The sequence below is a fragment of the Homo sapiens genome, chromosome 1 (genome assembly GCF_000001405.40).
Source record: "Homo sapiens chromosome 1, GRCh38.p14 Primary Assembly".
NCBI classification, from domain to species: domain Eukaryota; kingdom Metazoa; phylum Chordata; class Mammalia; order Primates; family Hominidae; genus Homo; species Homo sapiens.
Genome location: NC_000001.11, coordinates 237,785,831 through 237,804,048, shown reverse-complemented (window position 1 = coordinate 237,804,048; position 18,218 = coordinate 237,785,831). Strand labels below are relative to the sequence as shown.

At 37.7% G+C, this 18,218-nt stretch overlaps 1 protein-coding gene across 16 annotated transcripts in view; it reads right to left on the bottom strand.

The window, feature by feature from the left end:
* The window catches only part of RYR2 (ryanodine receptor 2), a 791,805-nt gene that overhangs the window by 29,940 nt on the left and 743,647 nt on the right, over positions 1-18,218 (bottom strand). For all 16 annotated transcript variants that reach the window (XM_006711802.4, XM_006711804.4, XM_006711806.4 and 13 more), the window contains 8 exons: positions 18,013-18,080; positions 15,914-16,061; positions 12,534-12,620; positions 11,726-11,944; positions 10,052-10,182; positions 8,718-8,760; positions 5,879-6,012; positions 2,133-2,193 (listed from right to left, as the gene is read on the bottom strand). In XM_006711802.4, the coding sequence (XP_006711865.1) occupies positions 2,133-2,193; positions 5,879-6,012; positions 8,718-8,760; positions 10,052-10,182; positions 11,726-11,944; positions 12,534-12,620; positions 15,914-16,061; positions 18,013-18,080 (891 nt within the window). The remainder of the gene's footprint in view (positions 1-2,132; positions 2,194-5,878; positions 6,013-8,717; positions 8,761-10,051; positions 10,183-11,725; positions 11,945-12,533; positions 12,621-15,913; positions 16,062-18,012; positions 18,081-18,218) is intronic.

Sequence of the window (18,218 nt, the reverse complement as noted above, 5' to 3'; positions counted from 1 at the left end):
TTTTTTATTTTAGCAAGATCTCTGATGAATAGGCACGTTTAGCCCCAATTTATATATGAGGAAGTGAGCTTGCTCTAGTTAAGCTATTGTCTAAAATCATTGTAAGTGGCAAAGCCATTAAATTAGAAGACTACTGGACAAACCCCAGGGTGAGGTTACCAGAGCCAAAAAAAGCAGCAAAAGTGGTAAAGATAGAAGGGAGAATTACAGAGGACACAAACAGGACCAAGATTCAGCAAATAATCAAATACATGCATTGGAGGGAGAAAGAAGAGGAGGAGTCCATATGAATAATTTAAGCTTAGGTAGTAAGAAGAACAAAAATACTAAAAGAGAAAATTGTAGACCGAAGACTGGATTTGGTGGGGAGGAGCAGAGGAGAAGGAAGATGAAAATTTGCCATGGGACATTCAGATGGAGCTAATCTAAGGAGGCATTAAGAAATGCAAGACTGGGCGTGGTGGCTCACGCTTGTAATCCCAGTACTTTGGGAGGCCAAGGCGGTCGGTTCACGAGGTCAGGAGATCGAGACCATCCTGGCTAACATGGTGAAACCCCGTCTCTACTAAAAGTACAAAAAATTAGCCGGGCGTGGTGGCGGGCGCCTGTAGTCCCAGCTACTCAGGAGGCTGAGGCAGAATGGTGTGAACCCAGGAGGCGGAGCTTGCAGTGAGCGGAGAGTGTGCCACTGCACTCCAGCCTGGGTGACAGTGCAAGACTCTGTCTCAAAAAAAAAAGAAAAATGCAAAGACTGAGGAAAAGGAAAATTTATGGGCATAAGATGAGTAACGACCTAAGTGACAAGCTGGGCCAAAGGTGCATGTGTGGTCTACACATGTGCTTGCTGCACAGTAAAATTTGAATGAGAGAGAAAGAATAAATGATTTTTAGTTTAGGTATATCCCATGAAGTAATTTGGGACATACTTATGCTAAATATTATTTTCTGCTTATCTAAAATTTACATTTAACTAGGAATTCTGAATTTCGTCTGGTAACCATGGCTATGTTTCAGAGAGACACAGTAATAGTGAAGAATGAATGCATGTTGAGAGGTGATTGGCCAAACAGAAGCCATGAAACTGCAGGTGGATAAAAGCCTACTAAAATAGCAGAACGCTGTCTAAGGAAAGACTCCATCCTGGATCTATCCATGCCCAAGTTATCAAGAGGACAAAAAAACTACAAAGCAAGATGAATATTATGGATAAGCTGCATCTGGGCAGAAGCTGCATCTGGGCAAAAGTGGGCTATGCAAATACTGTGGCATGGAAGATTGAGCTTAGCAGGCAGAACTTAAGATGGACTGGCCACTTCAGTGGAAAATGCCAACTAGAGCCAAAGCTGAGGTTGCCCTCTTGTTATTCAGGGGAGTTGCTCCCATTTGGATGAGAAATTAGTTGTAAGATAGTGTATTAATAGTTTATGGTTCTGAAAGATACTTGGAAGACCTGATTTTGAACTCTTAGAGAATGCTCCTAAGACACCCAGAGTTCTGGGCCCATGGCTGGATGAGGGAAGGGATAAGGATAGAGGCAGGAGAATTTGGGGGCTATCAAATGCTTCTAAATAGGAGAATGGAACTAACGTGAACTATAAAAGTCAGTGCTAAAATTAAAGAGTGAAATCTTGAGACACCTGGCGGTTTTTAGTAATAGGTAATTTTTTTCTATTTGGATATATATTACGGCCCTATATTTAGTCTCCAAAGGCTCTTTGGTAAAAGGAGAATAAAAAAAATAAAATAAAACTCCATAAGTTAATGTACTTAATTTGGGGAAAACCTAAATTTAGCACAATTAATGTTCTTTTAAAATTATTTAGGAGTTTCTTTTTAACATCTATAAAACTGAAGTATGCCATTGTCCAATTAAAACCTTAATGAACGTACTCACAAATCTGCATCTCAGTTTTTCATATATTTTCATTTTACTATTTCAGCTATTGAAAGAAATGGAATGAGAGATGGGCTCATTAATCATATCATTCTGTGGGTCTCTCTCCAGATCTGGTCTGTATGAAATGAATTGGTATTCGAAACATTTTCTAAATAACCAGCCTTCCATCTGCAGAACTCCCACAGTCTTATCTAATCAGAGTGCATTTTCTTTTGTGATAATGAAGTAGGCTTACGTTGTCAGTGAAAACGACTCCTAGTTTCCACATCTGATACTTCACATCAATGGAGTTCAGTCTGCAATGACAAAAAAAAAAAATGCGTAGTTATGCACATTAACCAAAGACTCATAGGCTTGCGAGAGCCTGACGGCCTTCACATTCAATGGGACAAGACTTGGACACCTTCTTGGGAAACGAGTTCTATCCCAGATGCCAAGGGAGGAGCTGAGAGCCAACTCTGACACTGTATCCTAGAGTTTCATGATGTGTTCTTAGAGGATCTTGGAAAACAAAACATCATCACCTTCGTCTTATGTTATTTAAAAATAGTCCTTTCTTTTTCACCTTTCCCTTTCCTACATTCAGTATTAACATTTTTTTTTTTTTTTTGAGACAGAGTTGCACTCATTCACCCAGACTAGAATGCAATGGTGCAATCTTGGCTCACTGCAATCTCTGCCTCCCCGGTTCAAGCGATTCTCGTGCCTCAGCCTCCCGAGTAGCTGGGATTACAGGCATGTGCTACCGCTCCCAGCGAATTTTTTTTTTTTTTTTTTTTTTTTTGTAGAGATGGGGTTTCATCATGTTGGCCAGGCTGGTCTTGAACTCCTGATCTCAGGGGATCTGTCCGCTTTGGCCTCCCGAAGTGCTGGGATTACATGCATGCACCATTGTGCCCAGCTACATATAACATTTATTCCTTGAAACTGTACTAAATTGGCCAACATATGTACACATCAAACATTTCCTCACTTTCATATGCACTTGCAATTGCATTCCAACAGAATAACTTTTGATTCAAATAATAAAAGCTAGCATAAATATACACATTTATTTTACAACTACCTTATTTTATAAATGAAAGAGCTTTTAAATTGTTTTGTTTTTACTTCATTTCCAGAAAATTCACCTTCTCTGTTTCCTTTTACATCCAGGCAGGAATTTAGCCCTTCCCCTCAGTTCTCATAGCATTTTGTAGACAATTCCTTTTATTATTATTTTCCACATTGTCTTACAGTTGTGGGTGCTGGTATATGCATGTAGGTGGTTATATGCCTCTCTCACTTGTCTGTGAACTCCCCAGCTCACACACTGAATGTCTAAATACATATATGTTGAATGGATAAATACTAAAGTAAATATTTGTGATCTTTGCAGATTACAAACACGTATATTAAAATATATGTGTTAATTTTCATTTTTTCAGAACTTGCCACTGATTTATAGGCTAGAAATTGTAACTTTCCCAGCCTTTCCAATATTCCAGCTCTAAGTAATTGATATGAAATAATGCAATATAACATAATGGCAATATTATTTTCTAAAGGGTTTCTCTAGATTTAATGTTTTAGTCTTTATTGACTTCTTTAATCATTTCTTTTAATTAAGCGAATCTTTCTTAAATTATAAATGCTAAGTAGTTGCAAATCGAAGGTGACTTTTTAGGAGATTTTTTTCACTAAGGGTTAAGGCTCATTTAACTTACTCCAGGATTAAAAACAATTTTTTTTTCCTTAAATAAAGTTATCTTTGAACTATAATTAATTTTATTATCACAGGAGCCTTTAAAAAAAGTGCCACAAATATTTACAACAGGTTTCAATATAAGAATTTTTTTTCTTAAATGAAAAAAGGAAGAGTTGGGGGAAAAAATGTAGTAGTTTGCATGGGAGCATAATTATTTTACATTAAAGCAATCTAAAACAGAATAATGGTTTATATCAGGATGTATGAATTTCCTATGGTGGTTTCTTATTTATTTTATTTTAAAAGTTATTCTTATGAGTTATTTTCCATCTCTAGCATACATTAGTGTGACAATATACCATCAGTATCACACAGCACTCATTTCTCACCCGTAGGTGGCAGCCATGCTGTTTGTTTCGGTGAGGCTGACCCCACCTCTGGGGGAGGGCCATGGCTGAGCTAAGCCAATCAGAACACGGCCTTCCTGGTTGGGGGGCGGGGGGACTCCAAAGCTCCAGTCAAGGGTAAACTATAACCAGGAAGGTGAGTTTTGGAGATGTTTTGAGACATGAGCTCCTTTCCTCCCCAGTGAGGACGCAAATGAAGACACCTGCAGCCTTCCAGACTGCTTGCAGCTATTCCACCCCCAGGAATGGAGCTGGCCACTTATTTAAAGGTGCACATACCAAGCCTTATGTGTTTGATAAATAAATATATAAATCATTTTGTATTTGAATGTTCCCATTAAGATAGCGTTCATATAGAAATCGGATAATCTTTTAAAACCTGACCTTCCTAAATGCTTTAGTAAAGAGACATTATATGTAAATCTTTTTCCTAGTTGTACATTATTTACCAGAACTTTATTCTTCTAATTTTATTCTCCATATGTCAAGGTGTTAAATGCCATATGAACTTCTTGGTACTTTGCTAGGGGTCAAACTTACTTACAAACAGTTACTATGTATAATGGTAGAAAACTATGCCAATTTAAAACTATTTCTTCATAGTAGAAAAACAGTCTAAACTTCCCTTCTATTTTTTCAGACTTTTTTTTAGAGTCACAAATATGACCACAGAAAATGCATAACTCAGTAAAACTATTTAATTCTATATTGCTTGTTAAGGATCTGAAAATGTTTGTGGGATGCTCAGCCTCACACCCTAGTTCTTGTTTCATGATATTCTAACATAAGGAACACAGATCCTAAGGATTGCCCATCGGTGTTTCATTTTACAGGCAGCGGCACAACGTTTAAATATACATTTGTTTTCCTAGAGTACTCAAGTAATATTTTGGAACTTAATTCATATTTGCTGATCCAAGTTGTTTTCAGTAAGTTCAAAAACAAGTTCACCTTAATAAGTTTTCAGATAGATAAAAACAATATGACCAATGAGATAGGCCAGCTAAACTATCTTTTTAATGCTAGCTAACAGATTAAGAAAATAATACTGCTTCACAGAACCAGAAATATGTTTTCAAAGTAACCATCACATCCCTACTCATGTTAAGAGAAAGTATTATGTTTCTTCCAAAATCATTAAGTGACTACAATAAGCAATTACGTTTTTAAAAGCATGTTTTACTTTTATTCCAGAGATTCAGTTGATCAAATTTGCTAAATGGATGTATGTATATATCTGTACACTCACACTATATGTGTGTGTGTGTGTGTGTGTGTGTGACATTTAAATTCAGGTGCATTCAACTCAACTGGTTTAGAAACATATTATTCCATGAAAGCAGTATATAAAGAGTGTTTCATTTTGAAGTAAACTTTACAAGTAATGGTATGATGGTATATTATTTCTGACGCACTAAGCCTTTGCTGTTCAAAACAATACAATACTTATAGTAAAGTAATATGAGTTCCTCTGAACATTTTAAATACAAGGGCTACATAGTTCCCTTTTCCAAAACATAAGAAAATTAACGTTTTTTCAAACAGGAATTACCAGAAAACAGCCATATATTGAGTTTTTGCATGTGTTTTACTTAGATTTAAGGATCATTTAAAGACAGAAAAGGCAAATTAAGTAAAAAACATAGTCTTTCTGTTCTCTTATAAATATTAAAAGGTACCTCCAAAAATTAATAGAAAAAAAATCCAATAATTCCAGAGTTCCAAATACCAAGAAGTGTAAAAGTAGACTTTATATACTTTCTGTTTTCCTCATCTATCTATTCTTCTGACATTGAAGGAAAGGAAATCAATGCACAAGTTTAAAAATGTATTAATGTTTTCCCCTTTCAATCTAAGTCTGTAGGATAGAGCCGAAGTAACACTTACACAGCTGATAAGGAGCTGTCTTTCTTTGGCTTCTTCTTTTCTCTGGCATCACTGAAGTCCAGAGCTGCCTTGTCCATGCCAAGTAATTCACTGATTCTGTCTCGGCCGTAGAACTCTCCATATTTATCCATAACCTTGGGGTATGAGAAAAAGCATTTTGTTGGCTTCAACCATTAAGTAACATCATCTATATGTGTGTATAAAACATCTAATTATTTTTATACTTACTGTATATTTGCCCTAACAATCACTTAAAATCTAGTGTGTGGCTCACCTTCTGTGATCACACTGCTTAAGGTCTAAACAAATTCACAGCATCTTACATAATACCTATCTGAGGAACAAGATTTCTCTCTCATTCAAGAGAGGGAGTCATACCAAAGAAGATGATGAGCTGAAATAAAAGCATAAGAAATGGAGGGAAATGGAATGAGAACGACCTTTACTAAATTAATACTTTGTGCCAGAAATTATGCTTCATTCCATGTGACTGTCACAATATGTAGGTTTCACGTTATTGATATTCTGCAGATAAAGAAACTGTACCTTAGAAAACTTCATGTAATGTGCCTAAGTTTGCTAAACTCAGCAAGAGATGGGTCCAGGAAGCAACCAGGCCATGCCTGACTCCCCAGCCAATGATCTTCTGCATAGACCTCTGCATGCCAATAGGGGGCACATCACAGGGGTGGCATCCTTCCATGGTCTCAATTTCAACCCTTCAACTCTCTGGCCACAATGCCCATCTTTCTAACCCACTCCCCTGAGTATCCTGACCCCAGCAATTCTTCAGTAAAACACCAGGACCTGCAACCTTGTCACCATCCTCATTTTAATTAGCATCTAGTATAGATTCCATGTCTATCAATCATTAGAATAATTCTTAACAATCCCCTTCAGCTTCCTTGCTTATTTCTCTTCTGTCCCATCTGCCTGGCTTTGCCCATTTGTCATGTTTTTAGAGCAGGGCTTGGATGTGCTCACAGCTCCCCTGTGAGCTCAGTTATGTCCAACTCTGGGATACAGCTCTTCTTGGCCTCTGGTTCATATACCTCCTGAGTGAGTCTTACACAGTAATGAAAATGGAGGCCAGGAGTGGTGGCTCACTCCTGTAATCCCAGCACTTTGGGAGGCCGAGGTGGGTGGATCATTTGAGGTCAGGAGTTCGAGACAGCTTGGCCAACATGGTGAGACCTTGTCTTTACTAAATATACAAAAATTAGCCAGGCATGGTGGTAGACACCTGTAATCCCAGCTACTTGGGAGACTGAGGTAGGAGAATCACTTGAACCCAGGAGGTGGAGATTGCAGTGAGCTGAAATCATGCCATTGCACTCCAGCCTGGGCAACAGAGTGAGACTCTGTCTCAAAAACAAAAAAAGAAAATGGAGGGAACAGGAAAAGCAATTAAAGACAAGCAGGAGGAGAGATCACTGGTAGCAAAAAAGGAGTCCACTATACAGGAGAAAAGATTAGAAAAGGAGACAGAATGTGAAAATACAAGATTGAAGTGAATGAAGAAGGAAATATACTGAACAAGATTGAAGTGAATGAAGAAGGAAATATACTGATGAAAAGAAGGGATTAACAGATATAAAAATTGGCTTTTTCTGAATGTATGCAATCAAGTAAATTAAAAGAAACCAAAAGAAAGAGCCTATGAACATGAACTACTTAGGTTAATTAAAACCATTTGTTTTGCATTATTCTCACAGTGCTAAAAATGGGCTGGGCTGATTTGAGCCGGGGGATTCTCTCGGGACTGTGTCCTCACATTCCCTGCAGGACAAATTAGGTACCATAGCGGGAAATCCAGGAACAGGATTAGCTGCCATTATGGTTTACCTATTTATTTGACTACAGATATAGAGTTTTCTTCATTAAAGCAAGAAACTCTTGCTTTAATAATTTAGAAGCTTCTTCCTTATTCCATTAAATAATAGGAATAAAATGTTCAAATTATCTATTTAAAACCATTTTAAAATTATTCTTTCACAGCTTTTGCCTAATTTGGGTGTCCTCAGATGCACTAGCGCAGTGCGACTCAAGATGCCAGGTCACGAGGGAACAAAACACTTGTACCTCCTCCACATAAAAATCGAACACATTGCTTCTAACAAAGTAAAAAAATATATATGTACATTTACAAATATACATATATGTACATGTACACATTTATATATGTATATACATATATACATATACATACATATGTACACATATGCACACATACATATGTACACACATACGCGTGCATATGTGTGTGTATCCATATATGTGTGTATATATATATGTGTATATATATATATATATACATATACATATATATATATACACACACACACATACATACCTGTATATACATACAGGCGTGAGCCACCGCGCCCGGCCATTATGTGCTATTCTTGAAATTCATATTTGGCCGGATGTGGTGGCTCATGCCTTTAATCCCAGCACTTTGGTAGGTCAAGGCGGGCAGATCACCTGAGGTCAGGAGTCAGAGACCAGCCAGGCCAACATGGCGAAACCCCATCTCGACTAAAAATACAAAAATTAGCCGGGTGTGGTGGCAGGCGCCTGGAATCCCAGCCACTCGGGAGACTGAGGCAGGAGAATTGCTTGAACTGGGCAGCTGAGGTTGCAGTGAGCTGAGATCGCGCTACTGCACTCCAGCCTGGGTGACGGAGTGAGACTCCATCTCAAAAATTAAAAAAAAAAAATGGAGACATTAATAGGCAGATAAATTATACCTCAATATCTTATTCTACATCTGAATCACATCAAATAAAAATCTAAACTGTGCTTTAAGAAAAATGTAGAGGATTCCAAGTAATATTACCTTTCTTTTAACAAATTTGTCCCAGTAGTTGTTGGGAAATGACCTAAAATATACAAAAGCATAGAAGTAAATAGTATTATTTTTAATGACAAATAATAACATATCATTTGGGATATATGGCATACTTAAAATAATATGTAAACATATATCCTGCCACGTAAACTTACAATGAATTTGGCTAACATCACATAATTTCCTGCATCATAGGTATTTGAATATTATTTTAAATATTAACATGTAAATATATACAAAAGATTATAAGCTGATACTTTAATGGAGAAGAATATGAGCATATTTATTAGGTAGCATTGTTATATTTATTTGTTTATAACATATCAGTACATAGACCTGTTTATCAATTGCCTTTAAAAATTAAAGTATCTAGAAACCTGTCATTGTTTTTCCCATGAAGAAAAAAATCTCTTTCCCACCACTTATCCTCACAGAAACTTCGAGCATAGCAGCAAAGCACAACTCTAGCGTCTTCACTAATACATAGAGAGTTTGCCTAAAGGGACTGACTTGCTTAGAAATTAGTATTAATGGTAGAATTGCTAAACAAAACATTTAGCATTTAGGATAAACATGTATCATGTATAAATAATCTCCATTTGACAACTCGGAACCCATTAGCAAATGACTTTTTAATTAGCAAAACTAATCACAATTTTAAAAAGATTTCACTCGAATAGTAAATATAAACTATTACAACTATTGCACTAATTCTTTTTACAGTGAAAAATTATACTTTTGTGATGGACTTATACTCAGAACAGCAGCTAGTAGTTTGGGTCTTGATCTCACAGGGCTAAATGTTTATTGGATAGAAAAAGCATTTGTTTTTCTGTCTTACATTTTACACCGTGTCCTAATATTTAGTTAGTTTCATGCTAGGGTGCTTGATGGTACTGAAAGTTGATAACTCAGATATATTCAAGGTGTAAAATTCAATGCATTTTCCTTTAATGCTACAACTTTTTCGTTAATGAATAATTTTTGCCTCTGCTTTTGGATGAGATAACCCTGCCTGCAGGTCATGCACTTCCTGCTACACACATCCCTGAACGCTGAGTAATGGATGTGAAGTTCCATCAGTGCTGTGGAAATGAACTCTAAGCCATTTTTAATTAAGGAATTCAGAACTCAGAGGGCAAAAATTGAGGACATCCACCATTAAGAGTTGGACAGCACTGAGTCTTTAGATTTTTCTTGGCTGAATATATAACTATTATTCACCTCTGCTAAACTTTTGACAAATCTGCAGGAACTCCAACCAAATATTTTCATGTCTGAAATTTTTGAGTGCAGAAAGTCTCATATAATTATTTACTCACTGTGTGTTGATTACGAGTCTATCCCACTGGCCTTTAATATCATCTTCTGAAGGCTGTTCTGTAATATAAAGCCCATCAAATTCCAATTTCCGTGCCACTTCCTTTTCTCGCTTAAAAATAACCAATGGGACCTACATAGGAAAAATAAATACGTTAAAATTAGTTTAGATTTACTGGCATATCTTGTGGTCACTATCTTTACAAAACAGCTTTTGGAAAGAAATATTTCCTGTGTACTTCTAGGAAGGTAAAAATGGAATGAAAATGAATCAGCTATATTCAAGCAGGAAGAAGCATCTAGAAGGTTTTGGAAAAACAGAAGATAGAATAGATATTACATATATGCATATGTTTTTAAACACATAGGGTCTTATAGATAATTACACTAGTGAAATCATTTTTAAACTTCAAAGATGAAAAGATGATTATGCAAAATCATTTTGTTTACATATATCTCTCAACATGAATGAATGAAATAAAATTTAGCAATTGCAGCAATGTTCCCAAATGCATGCTACTAAAGTGCAGTTTTATTTGAGAAACCTCTTTAATAATTTCATGCTCAGCATCACCACATACTATTTTGAGATAAATTTTAATTTCGACATCAGCAAAAATCTGTCAGTTTGTCAAAATATTTCCAGAACATAATGATTTTCTAGAACATAATGATTCTCTTTTTACACGGACAGACTTTACACAAGGCACAGATAGCAGATAGACACTGATATTCTGGAAATAGCCAAGAATATGCACTCCCATAAAACAGAATAAACGGGAGGAAAGGAGTTCCTGAATAACTCTTTACATTCTAGTCTTTTACTCTGAGCCCTGGTTTTTCACACGTCTTCTGCAAGATTTATAACCAGAGGCAGAGGACAGTGAAAGTGAAATAAAGGCATTACAGTAAAAAAGCACCTTGCTAGGAAAAGATAAAGAGGTTTGGACAGGTAATGGGCAGCCCTGAGCACTCAGAGAGATTATCTTGGGTTCTATTCACCAAATTATATTGTTCCCTTGGCAGGCCTCTGGGGATAAAGCTGCATTATTTTCTGGGTGAAGTGTGACAAATCATGAGGCATTTCTGCCAAGAATAGCAGTAGATACTTCCCTCATAATAAAACAATAAAATGACTCCCAGGATTGACACAATATATTTCTATAAGTCTTAATACACCAAGTATCACTGCATTACCATGAGACATAGTGGGTGGGTGAGCTCACTTCTGTAGGGCCAAGTTATAGGCGAAATTCTCTATGTGAATAATTATCAGTATATGAAAGAAAGCTACTTTAAGACAGCTCATGGCCATAGCCCCTTCCCAGGGCAGACTAGTCAATGTAGACATAAAAAGGCCAGGCTCCAATGCCCCAGGCCAGGACAGCCCTGAAGGGGCATCCCAGCTTTGGAGACGGCACCTGCTGTGTCTGTCTACAGTAGCCCAGCTTTCCCCTCTGTCCCATCCTTCCTCCATTTGCCCCATGCATGTTGATTCATGGAGCATTCCCTCAGAAACTTTGTGCACAAAGTTTCCAGCTCAGAATCTGCTTCCCCAGAAGTCCAGCCTGCAAAACACACACACACACACACACACACACGCACACACACACACACGCACACACACACACACACACACACACACACACAGGTACCTTGGTGCCTTACTATCTTACTTTCAAGCAGTAGTATCCAATGATGCAGAAGAAAGAAATGACCGTGTGCAGAATAGCTAAGATACGCAACGTGGGCTCCATGTAGCCGCTGCTCTCCTCTAGTACATAGTGAACTGCGATGATTCTATGGGAGCTGCTGTCCAGGCTTGTCACTTTGGCATTTTCACTTGAACTTCTCGTGGGGAGCTCCTTTCCTTCAACCACAGAAGAAGTGGAGACCTGATTCAAAGCATTTAAAGTAGAGTCAGTTTGCTGCATCTAAGATACCATTGCAAGCAAAAGACAAAAGAAATACAGCCTTTTCAGCAAATAGTTGGATGTGAAGTCACTGCATAATGAAAGGACTAATAGCAAAGGCTAAAAACGATAGCTTTTCAAAAACCAAAGGCAAGTAATGAACATACTTTTAAAATTCATTCTTATTCAACCAAAAATTCTGAGGATTCCAATGCATGCTAAAAAATTAGATGGCTAAGCTCTCTTCTCAATTACAAAAGAATGTAATATAATACGGTATGCCACACCCAGGCATAGTCACAAATAAGATATTCAGCTAAATTAGGCTGGGAATACTGTGGGGAAGCCCTCTGCTAAATCAAATGCCCTTCAGTTGAGGCATTTCTCACTTCTCAGGAACAAATCTATCTTGCCTTCCTAGATAACAGTGATATCAGTGCCTAGGCACCAGTATTTCATAATAGGTTTAGACATGTTCACTAGCAGTAGTAGATACGTTCATCGTGAAATCTTTACATTCATTTCTATTTGGAGTTTTATACCAGTAATTAAAACAGTGAGATGTACGTACCTTATAAAAGAGCAAGATGAAATTGATAGCAAATGCGACAAATAAGGCTAACATTCTCATGTTGTAAAAGTTGCGAGCAAAATAGTTCTGAGGGTGAAAAACATTATGAAAAGGTCACTGAATCAACAGGCTTGAAACCTGCAGTCAATTTAAATAAAGCATTCATTCATTTACCCCAAACAATTGATCGCAAGCCTACTGTTTCAAGCACCATTCTTGGTGCTGCAGACCTAAAAGTGAGGGAGAACATTTCTGCCACCATGGAGGAGACAAAGAATAAAAAAGCATACCCGCAAGTGAAAAACATAATTTCAGAGAATGTTAAATGCTAAGAAGAAAACTACATCGGGTTAGGAGCTTAGGGAATAGGGGTGCTATTTTAGATGGTGTTGGTCTGGGAAGGTTTATCTCAGGAGGTAAGCTTTGAACAGAGAGGCCTGAATGCACAAGCGGGGAGCAAGTCATACAAATATTTGGGGAAAGAAAGAGTGTGTCAAAGAGAGGAGCAACAAGGGCAGAGGCCCTGAGTTAGGAGTGATGTTGGTGTGTTTGAGAAATAGAAGGAAACACAGTGAGAAGAAGGGAGACTGATGTGTGGGGGTGGCAGGGGGATGTGATCAGACAGGTGAGCAGGGGGCAGGGTTTTGTAGGCTTCTGATAAAAGGTTGTCTTGTCTTTGACAGTGTGGTGGTTCAGTTTACAACCTCCGAGGCCTCATTGCCTGGATATGAAGCCTGCCTCCCTCCATTTCCTAGTGTGGGATATGGACAAATGACTTAATCTTTTCTGTAGCATCACTCTGCTCATCTGCATGCGAAGTGGGAATAACAAAAGACCTTAACTCTTAAGTGTGCTTTGAAGATGAAATGAGTTAATATAGGGAAAGTTCGTTATTAATATAATTATTATGTTGATTATCTATAATAAATGTAATATTCCAGTATAATTATTATTTTATTCTAGGTGGGATGGGAAGCTATTAGAGGATTTCAGGAGGACTTGGTGCAGTTGGATTATGATTTGGAAGGCCCACTCCAGCTACTATGTGAAAACTGATAGCAGTGGAACAACAGTGAAAGCAAGAGGACCCGTTAGAAAGTTAGTACAAGACGTCAGGCAGAGGTGAGGTTCATGGTGGTGGATTGGACTTAATGGTACCTGTGGAGATGGCAAGAACTGGGCAGACTCGATGTATTTGGAACAACTGAGAATAATTATCGTTGGGTTGTATTTAAGGTGGGAAAGAGAGGGTTCAAAGATGATACCTTCTGAATTTGGGAGCCTCAGCAACTAAGGGAACAGCTGGTACAATTTATTGGGCTGGGAAAAAATAAAGCCTAGAGAAGTGGGTTTAAAGTAATAGGTTATGGTGGACATTAAGCATTTGTTTTAATATTAAGTGGGAGATGTCAATATAATTTAAGTGGATATGTCAGGGGATTTACCATAATAAAGCTACATCAAAATGTAACACCTCAGAATGATATTCCCCTCTGTGTACACAGCCCATCTCTGTTCGTGTCATTTCCCCACACAGGACCCCATCTTTACTGCCAGAGCTTATTAGAACAAGGCTGTCCACCACACCCAGACTGCGTCAGTTTCACTGGTTGTCCTTGGAAGGTGGATCTGGGTCACAGAGGCTGAGTTAGCTAGGCTGAGCTCTCACTTAGGGGAAAAGGGGCCTTTGTTAGACGGATGTGGCCATGACTGGTCATGTGCATGCAAATCGGTGAGCCGAGAAAGATAGCAAAGAGATGCAGGAAAAGGGAGGAGCTGTGCAGAGACAACAGAACATGTGAACCCTGACACAGTGAAAGCTGGAAGCAAAATCTCAACTACTTGGTTTACACAACTGTAGTTAAACACATTCTTCAGGAACCCACTGGGGTGCTGCAGCGCCCATTCAACCTTTAAACCACCTATAATAGAACTATACCTGCAGCCATGACCTATAATAGAACTATACCTGCAGCCATGACCTATAATAGAACTATACCTGCAGCCATGGAAGCCATTATGGCATACCAAATTAGGAATTATTCAGAGTTAGTTATCTAGGAAACATTTCTGTTCAGTGAACTCTGTATTAAACAATATAGGGAAAATACAAGATGGTTTAGGAAATGTAGTTACAACTAAATTAAAATATATTTGCATAAAATATATAATACATAACCATGTTTAAAGATAAGCATTTAGAATATATAATTACTGAGGACAGTCCACTTTCCTTATAGGTGAAATTCTATAGTTCATTGAGGTTCTGAGTTGTCAATTTTTGATTTCTCAAGGGCTAAAAAACACTAAATATGACTCTGCTGTTCAAATGGCTTTCTTATGAGGGTTGTTGTTCTTAAATTCTAGGTCTAACATCACTGGTCAGTACCTCTTGTAGGTGGATTCTACATGCTTATCCCCTATCCTTTTCCTCCCTTATAAAAATTATAAAAATTTATAAAAATTATGCATATATACACACATATAATTATACATATATACACATATAATTATAAAAATTATACATATATACACATATGTTTAATTTTTATAAAGGAGGAAAAGGATAGGAGATAAGCATGGAGGAAAAGGATAGGAGACACATATATGTGTATACATGTGACATTACACATGCATGTTAATAAAGGCCTTTCAAACAATATTTTTAAGAATTTCAAGATAAATATGAATAGACATAGAGAGAGCTATACCTTTTGTTTTCCAAATATGAATGTGTGCTTTACTAATTAGGGGAACACCTCTGTAAAATGTACAGGACAGTATATAAAGAACTGTAATCCCTCTCTTAAAGAACAATTTTGAATAGACCTTCTTATTATCAATGGAAAGTGGCTCAATTAGCTAATATTTTTATACCTGGATTTTTAAGTAAAAGGGTGATGTTATAGAAATACTGACTATGGCTCAATTAGCTAATATTTTTATACCTGGATTTTTAAGTAAAACGGTGATGTTATAGAAATACTGACTAATCTAGTTCTGGAACATTTTTGAATTACTTGTGTCCTAGAAGGCACATCTTGCTTTAAAATCTGTTGCAGGTCCTTAGACTATGTTTATTCACTTGTCCTAATGTCTTTGTGGGCAGACACTGGGAGCACTGTCCTGGCAGGAACCAAATGAAAGGGTTTCAGGGAGTGTGAACATGAGTAGAGGTTATGGGTTTGACAGTAGGGAGCGGTGGGCCAGAGACATTCACTATAAAAGATAAACACACTACAATGAGCAAATCAAACATGTGCTGGACTAACCTGGTTCCCTAACTGCCACTCAGGGAGAGGTCAGCAAACATTTACTGAGCCTAAATTATTACGGTATTGCACTATATCAGTAACAATATTCATTCTAAAACATCTTACTAGAAGTTTCTGTTGATATGCTATGATTTTCTTCCAGAATGCTGACTCTGGCACTTCTGGTTCTCCGTATCTGTGTGTGTGAAGCTGCCTCAACTTTTGTTTGCCCTTGTCTTCCTTGGCTTTCTCTTCTTTTTCTCCATCTTCTCCCCTATGAAAACAAACAAACAAAACATAAGCTCTCCAGAAACTAAAGAACTAAACGGGTGTTGTGGAAAATTACCCAAGTGAACAAATATTTTAGGCCATCATATTACTTTTGAAAACTAATTTCTTTTCCGGTGAATGATAATATTCTGAATTTTAGAATCAGGGGTAGGATTTTCTGTTGATCACAGTCCCCTGGAGATGGGTAATTCTGTGAAGTTGAAATATAGAGGACATTTTATAGGCTTGAAGAATCTTTATGCATAGCAGATTCCTTCCAATTCTGCAATGAAACATTAAAAAAATGAAGAATGATGAATGATTTTGCTATGACTGTCCCACATACCCTATTTTTAAATTATAATTTCAATCCTTTTTTTTTTTTTTTTTTTTTGTTTTTGAGACAGAGTCTCGCTCTGTCACCCAGGCTGGAATGCAGGGGCGCCATCTCAGCTCACTGCAACCTCCAGCTCCCGGGTTCAAGTGATTCTCCTGCCTCAGTCTTCCAAGTAGCTGGGATTATAGGCATGTGACACCATGCCCAGCTAACTTTTTTTTACATTTTTAGTAGAGATGGGGTTTCGCCATGTTGGCCAGGCTGGTCTTGAACTCCTGACCTTATGATCCGCCCGCCTCGGCCTCCCAAAGTGCTGGGATTACAGGTGTGAGCCACCACGCCCAGCCTATAATTTTAATGCACAATTTTTAACATTTTCCATTAAGATTTAAAATCAGAGGCCTACACACTTAATTGTTCACATGTATAAAGTGTATCATTATACTCTGACATATATTAATTGTAATTAATTTTATTAAATAAAATAAAGTGAATTATAGTAATGATATATTAATTCCAACAATAATGGAATTAGAAGAATTGACATTTGATATCCTTTAGGTGCAAAATATCAGTCCTTCATTAAATTAAAGTGAAGTCATATGTATTAATACATAAACCAGAAATATTAATATATATAAGCTATACTTAATCTTAACTCATATGAGGTATATATTAGTTAAAGAATTGCCATTGAAATGCCTGTCTTGCTGTTATTTGTGTCTACTTTTTATGGGGCCATTTTTACAACTGACCCAATAGTGTGAGATCTATGACAATGAATAGTGCTGACTACAAAAACATAACGATGAAAACAGACCAAAGAAAATAACAGAATAGAGGAGAAAATTTCAATGCTATGGGAGAATAGTGGCACTACAGGCACCTAAAAGCTTCCTTTCTTTCTTCCCCCAACTTTTCAAATGTGCGTATAAAATTCTATAAACGTGGAGAAAGATGTAGGCTTCGATTATTCAGAGAAACCTGGTGTTATGAGGGAGTTATGCATTTTCATCGCCTCACATCCAGCTCTTTTTTATTGCTGCGTTGATCCCAGGAGTGTTGGTGAAAATGAAGGCTCCCAGGCCCCACACCAGACCTGCTGAGGCAGGATCTATGGCTTGGGGCCCAGGAATGTTTGTTTTAACCAACTCTCCCGGGGACTTTTATGCATGTGGTCCTGGGTCTATGGTTTAAGGAGCACCACTCCACAGGATTCTATGAAAGCGCATTTGGAATGTTTGTTTCCTCCCTTCTTGGAAAGGACAGAAAGACATGAGTGATTTTTAAAGACAGAATTGTGGCCCTGAGTCCTCTTACAAACAGCATTCCATGCAATCACTGGAGTCTTTCCTGCTGAGAGGGAATCACACAAATGGAGGTCCCCATGGAATGAGAGGAAAAGACTAGACTGGCAGCCCCGGGGGCGTCTACAGTGATCCCTGCCCATGGCCTGAGGTCCTCGCTGTCAGAGCCTCTCCACGGAGATGGCACAATTAGTTCTGTGGCTCCTTGACAATATGAGATTCTCCCTTGCAGCTCCCAAAGACAGAGTACAAGAAAAAGAGATGTAATGACAAACTGAAACGAAGGAAAAGTATATGCAAACTATACATACTCGGCTTTTTCAGGTTCAGATTTGGTTTCTTCTTTTTCTTCCTTTTCTTCTTCTTTTGCCTTCTGTTCCTTGAATGAGTCAATGGGGAAAAGAAAACCAGGATTACCCATCACCTTTGAATGAATTGAGGGAGCCATGTGACCATGTGTCAAACCATAACCTATATAAGATACCCTCTTGCTTATACCACGATAAAAGCGCCACGT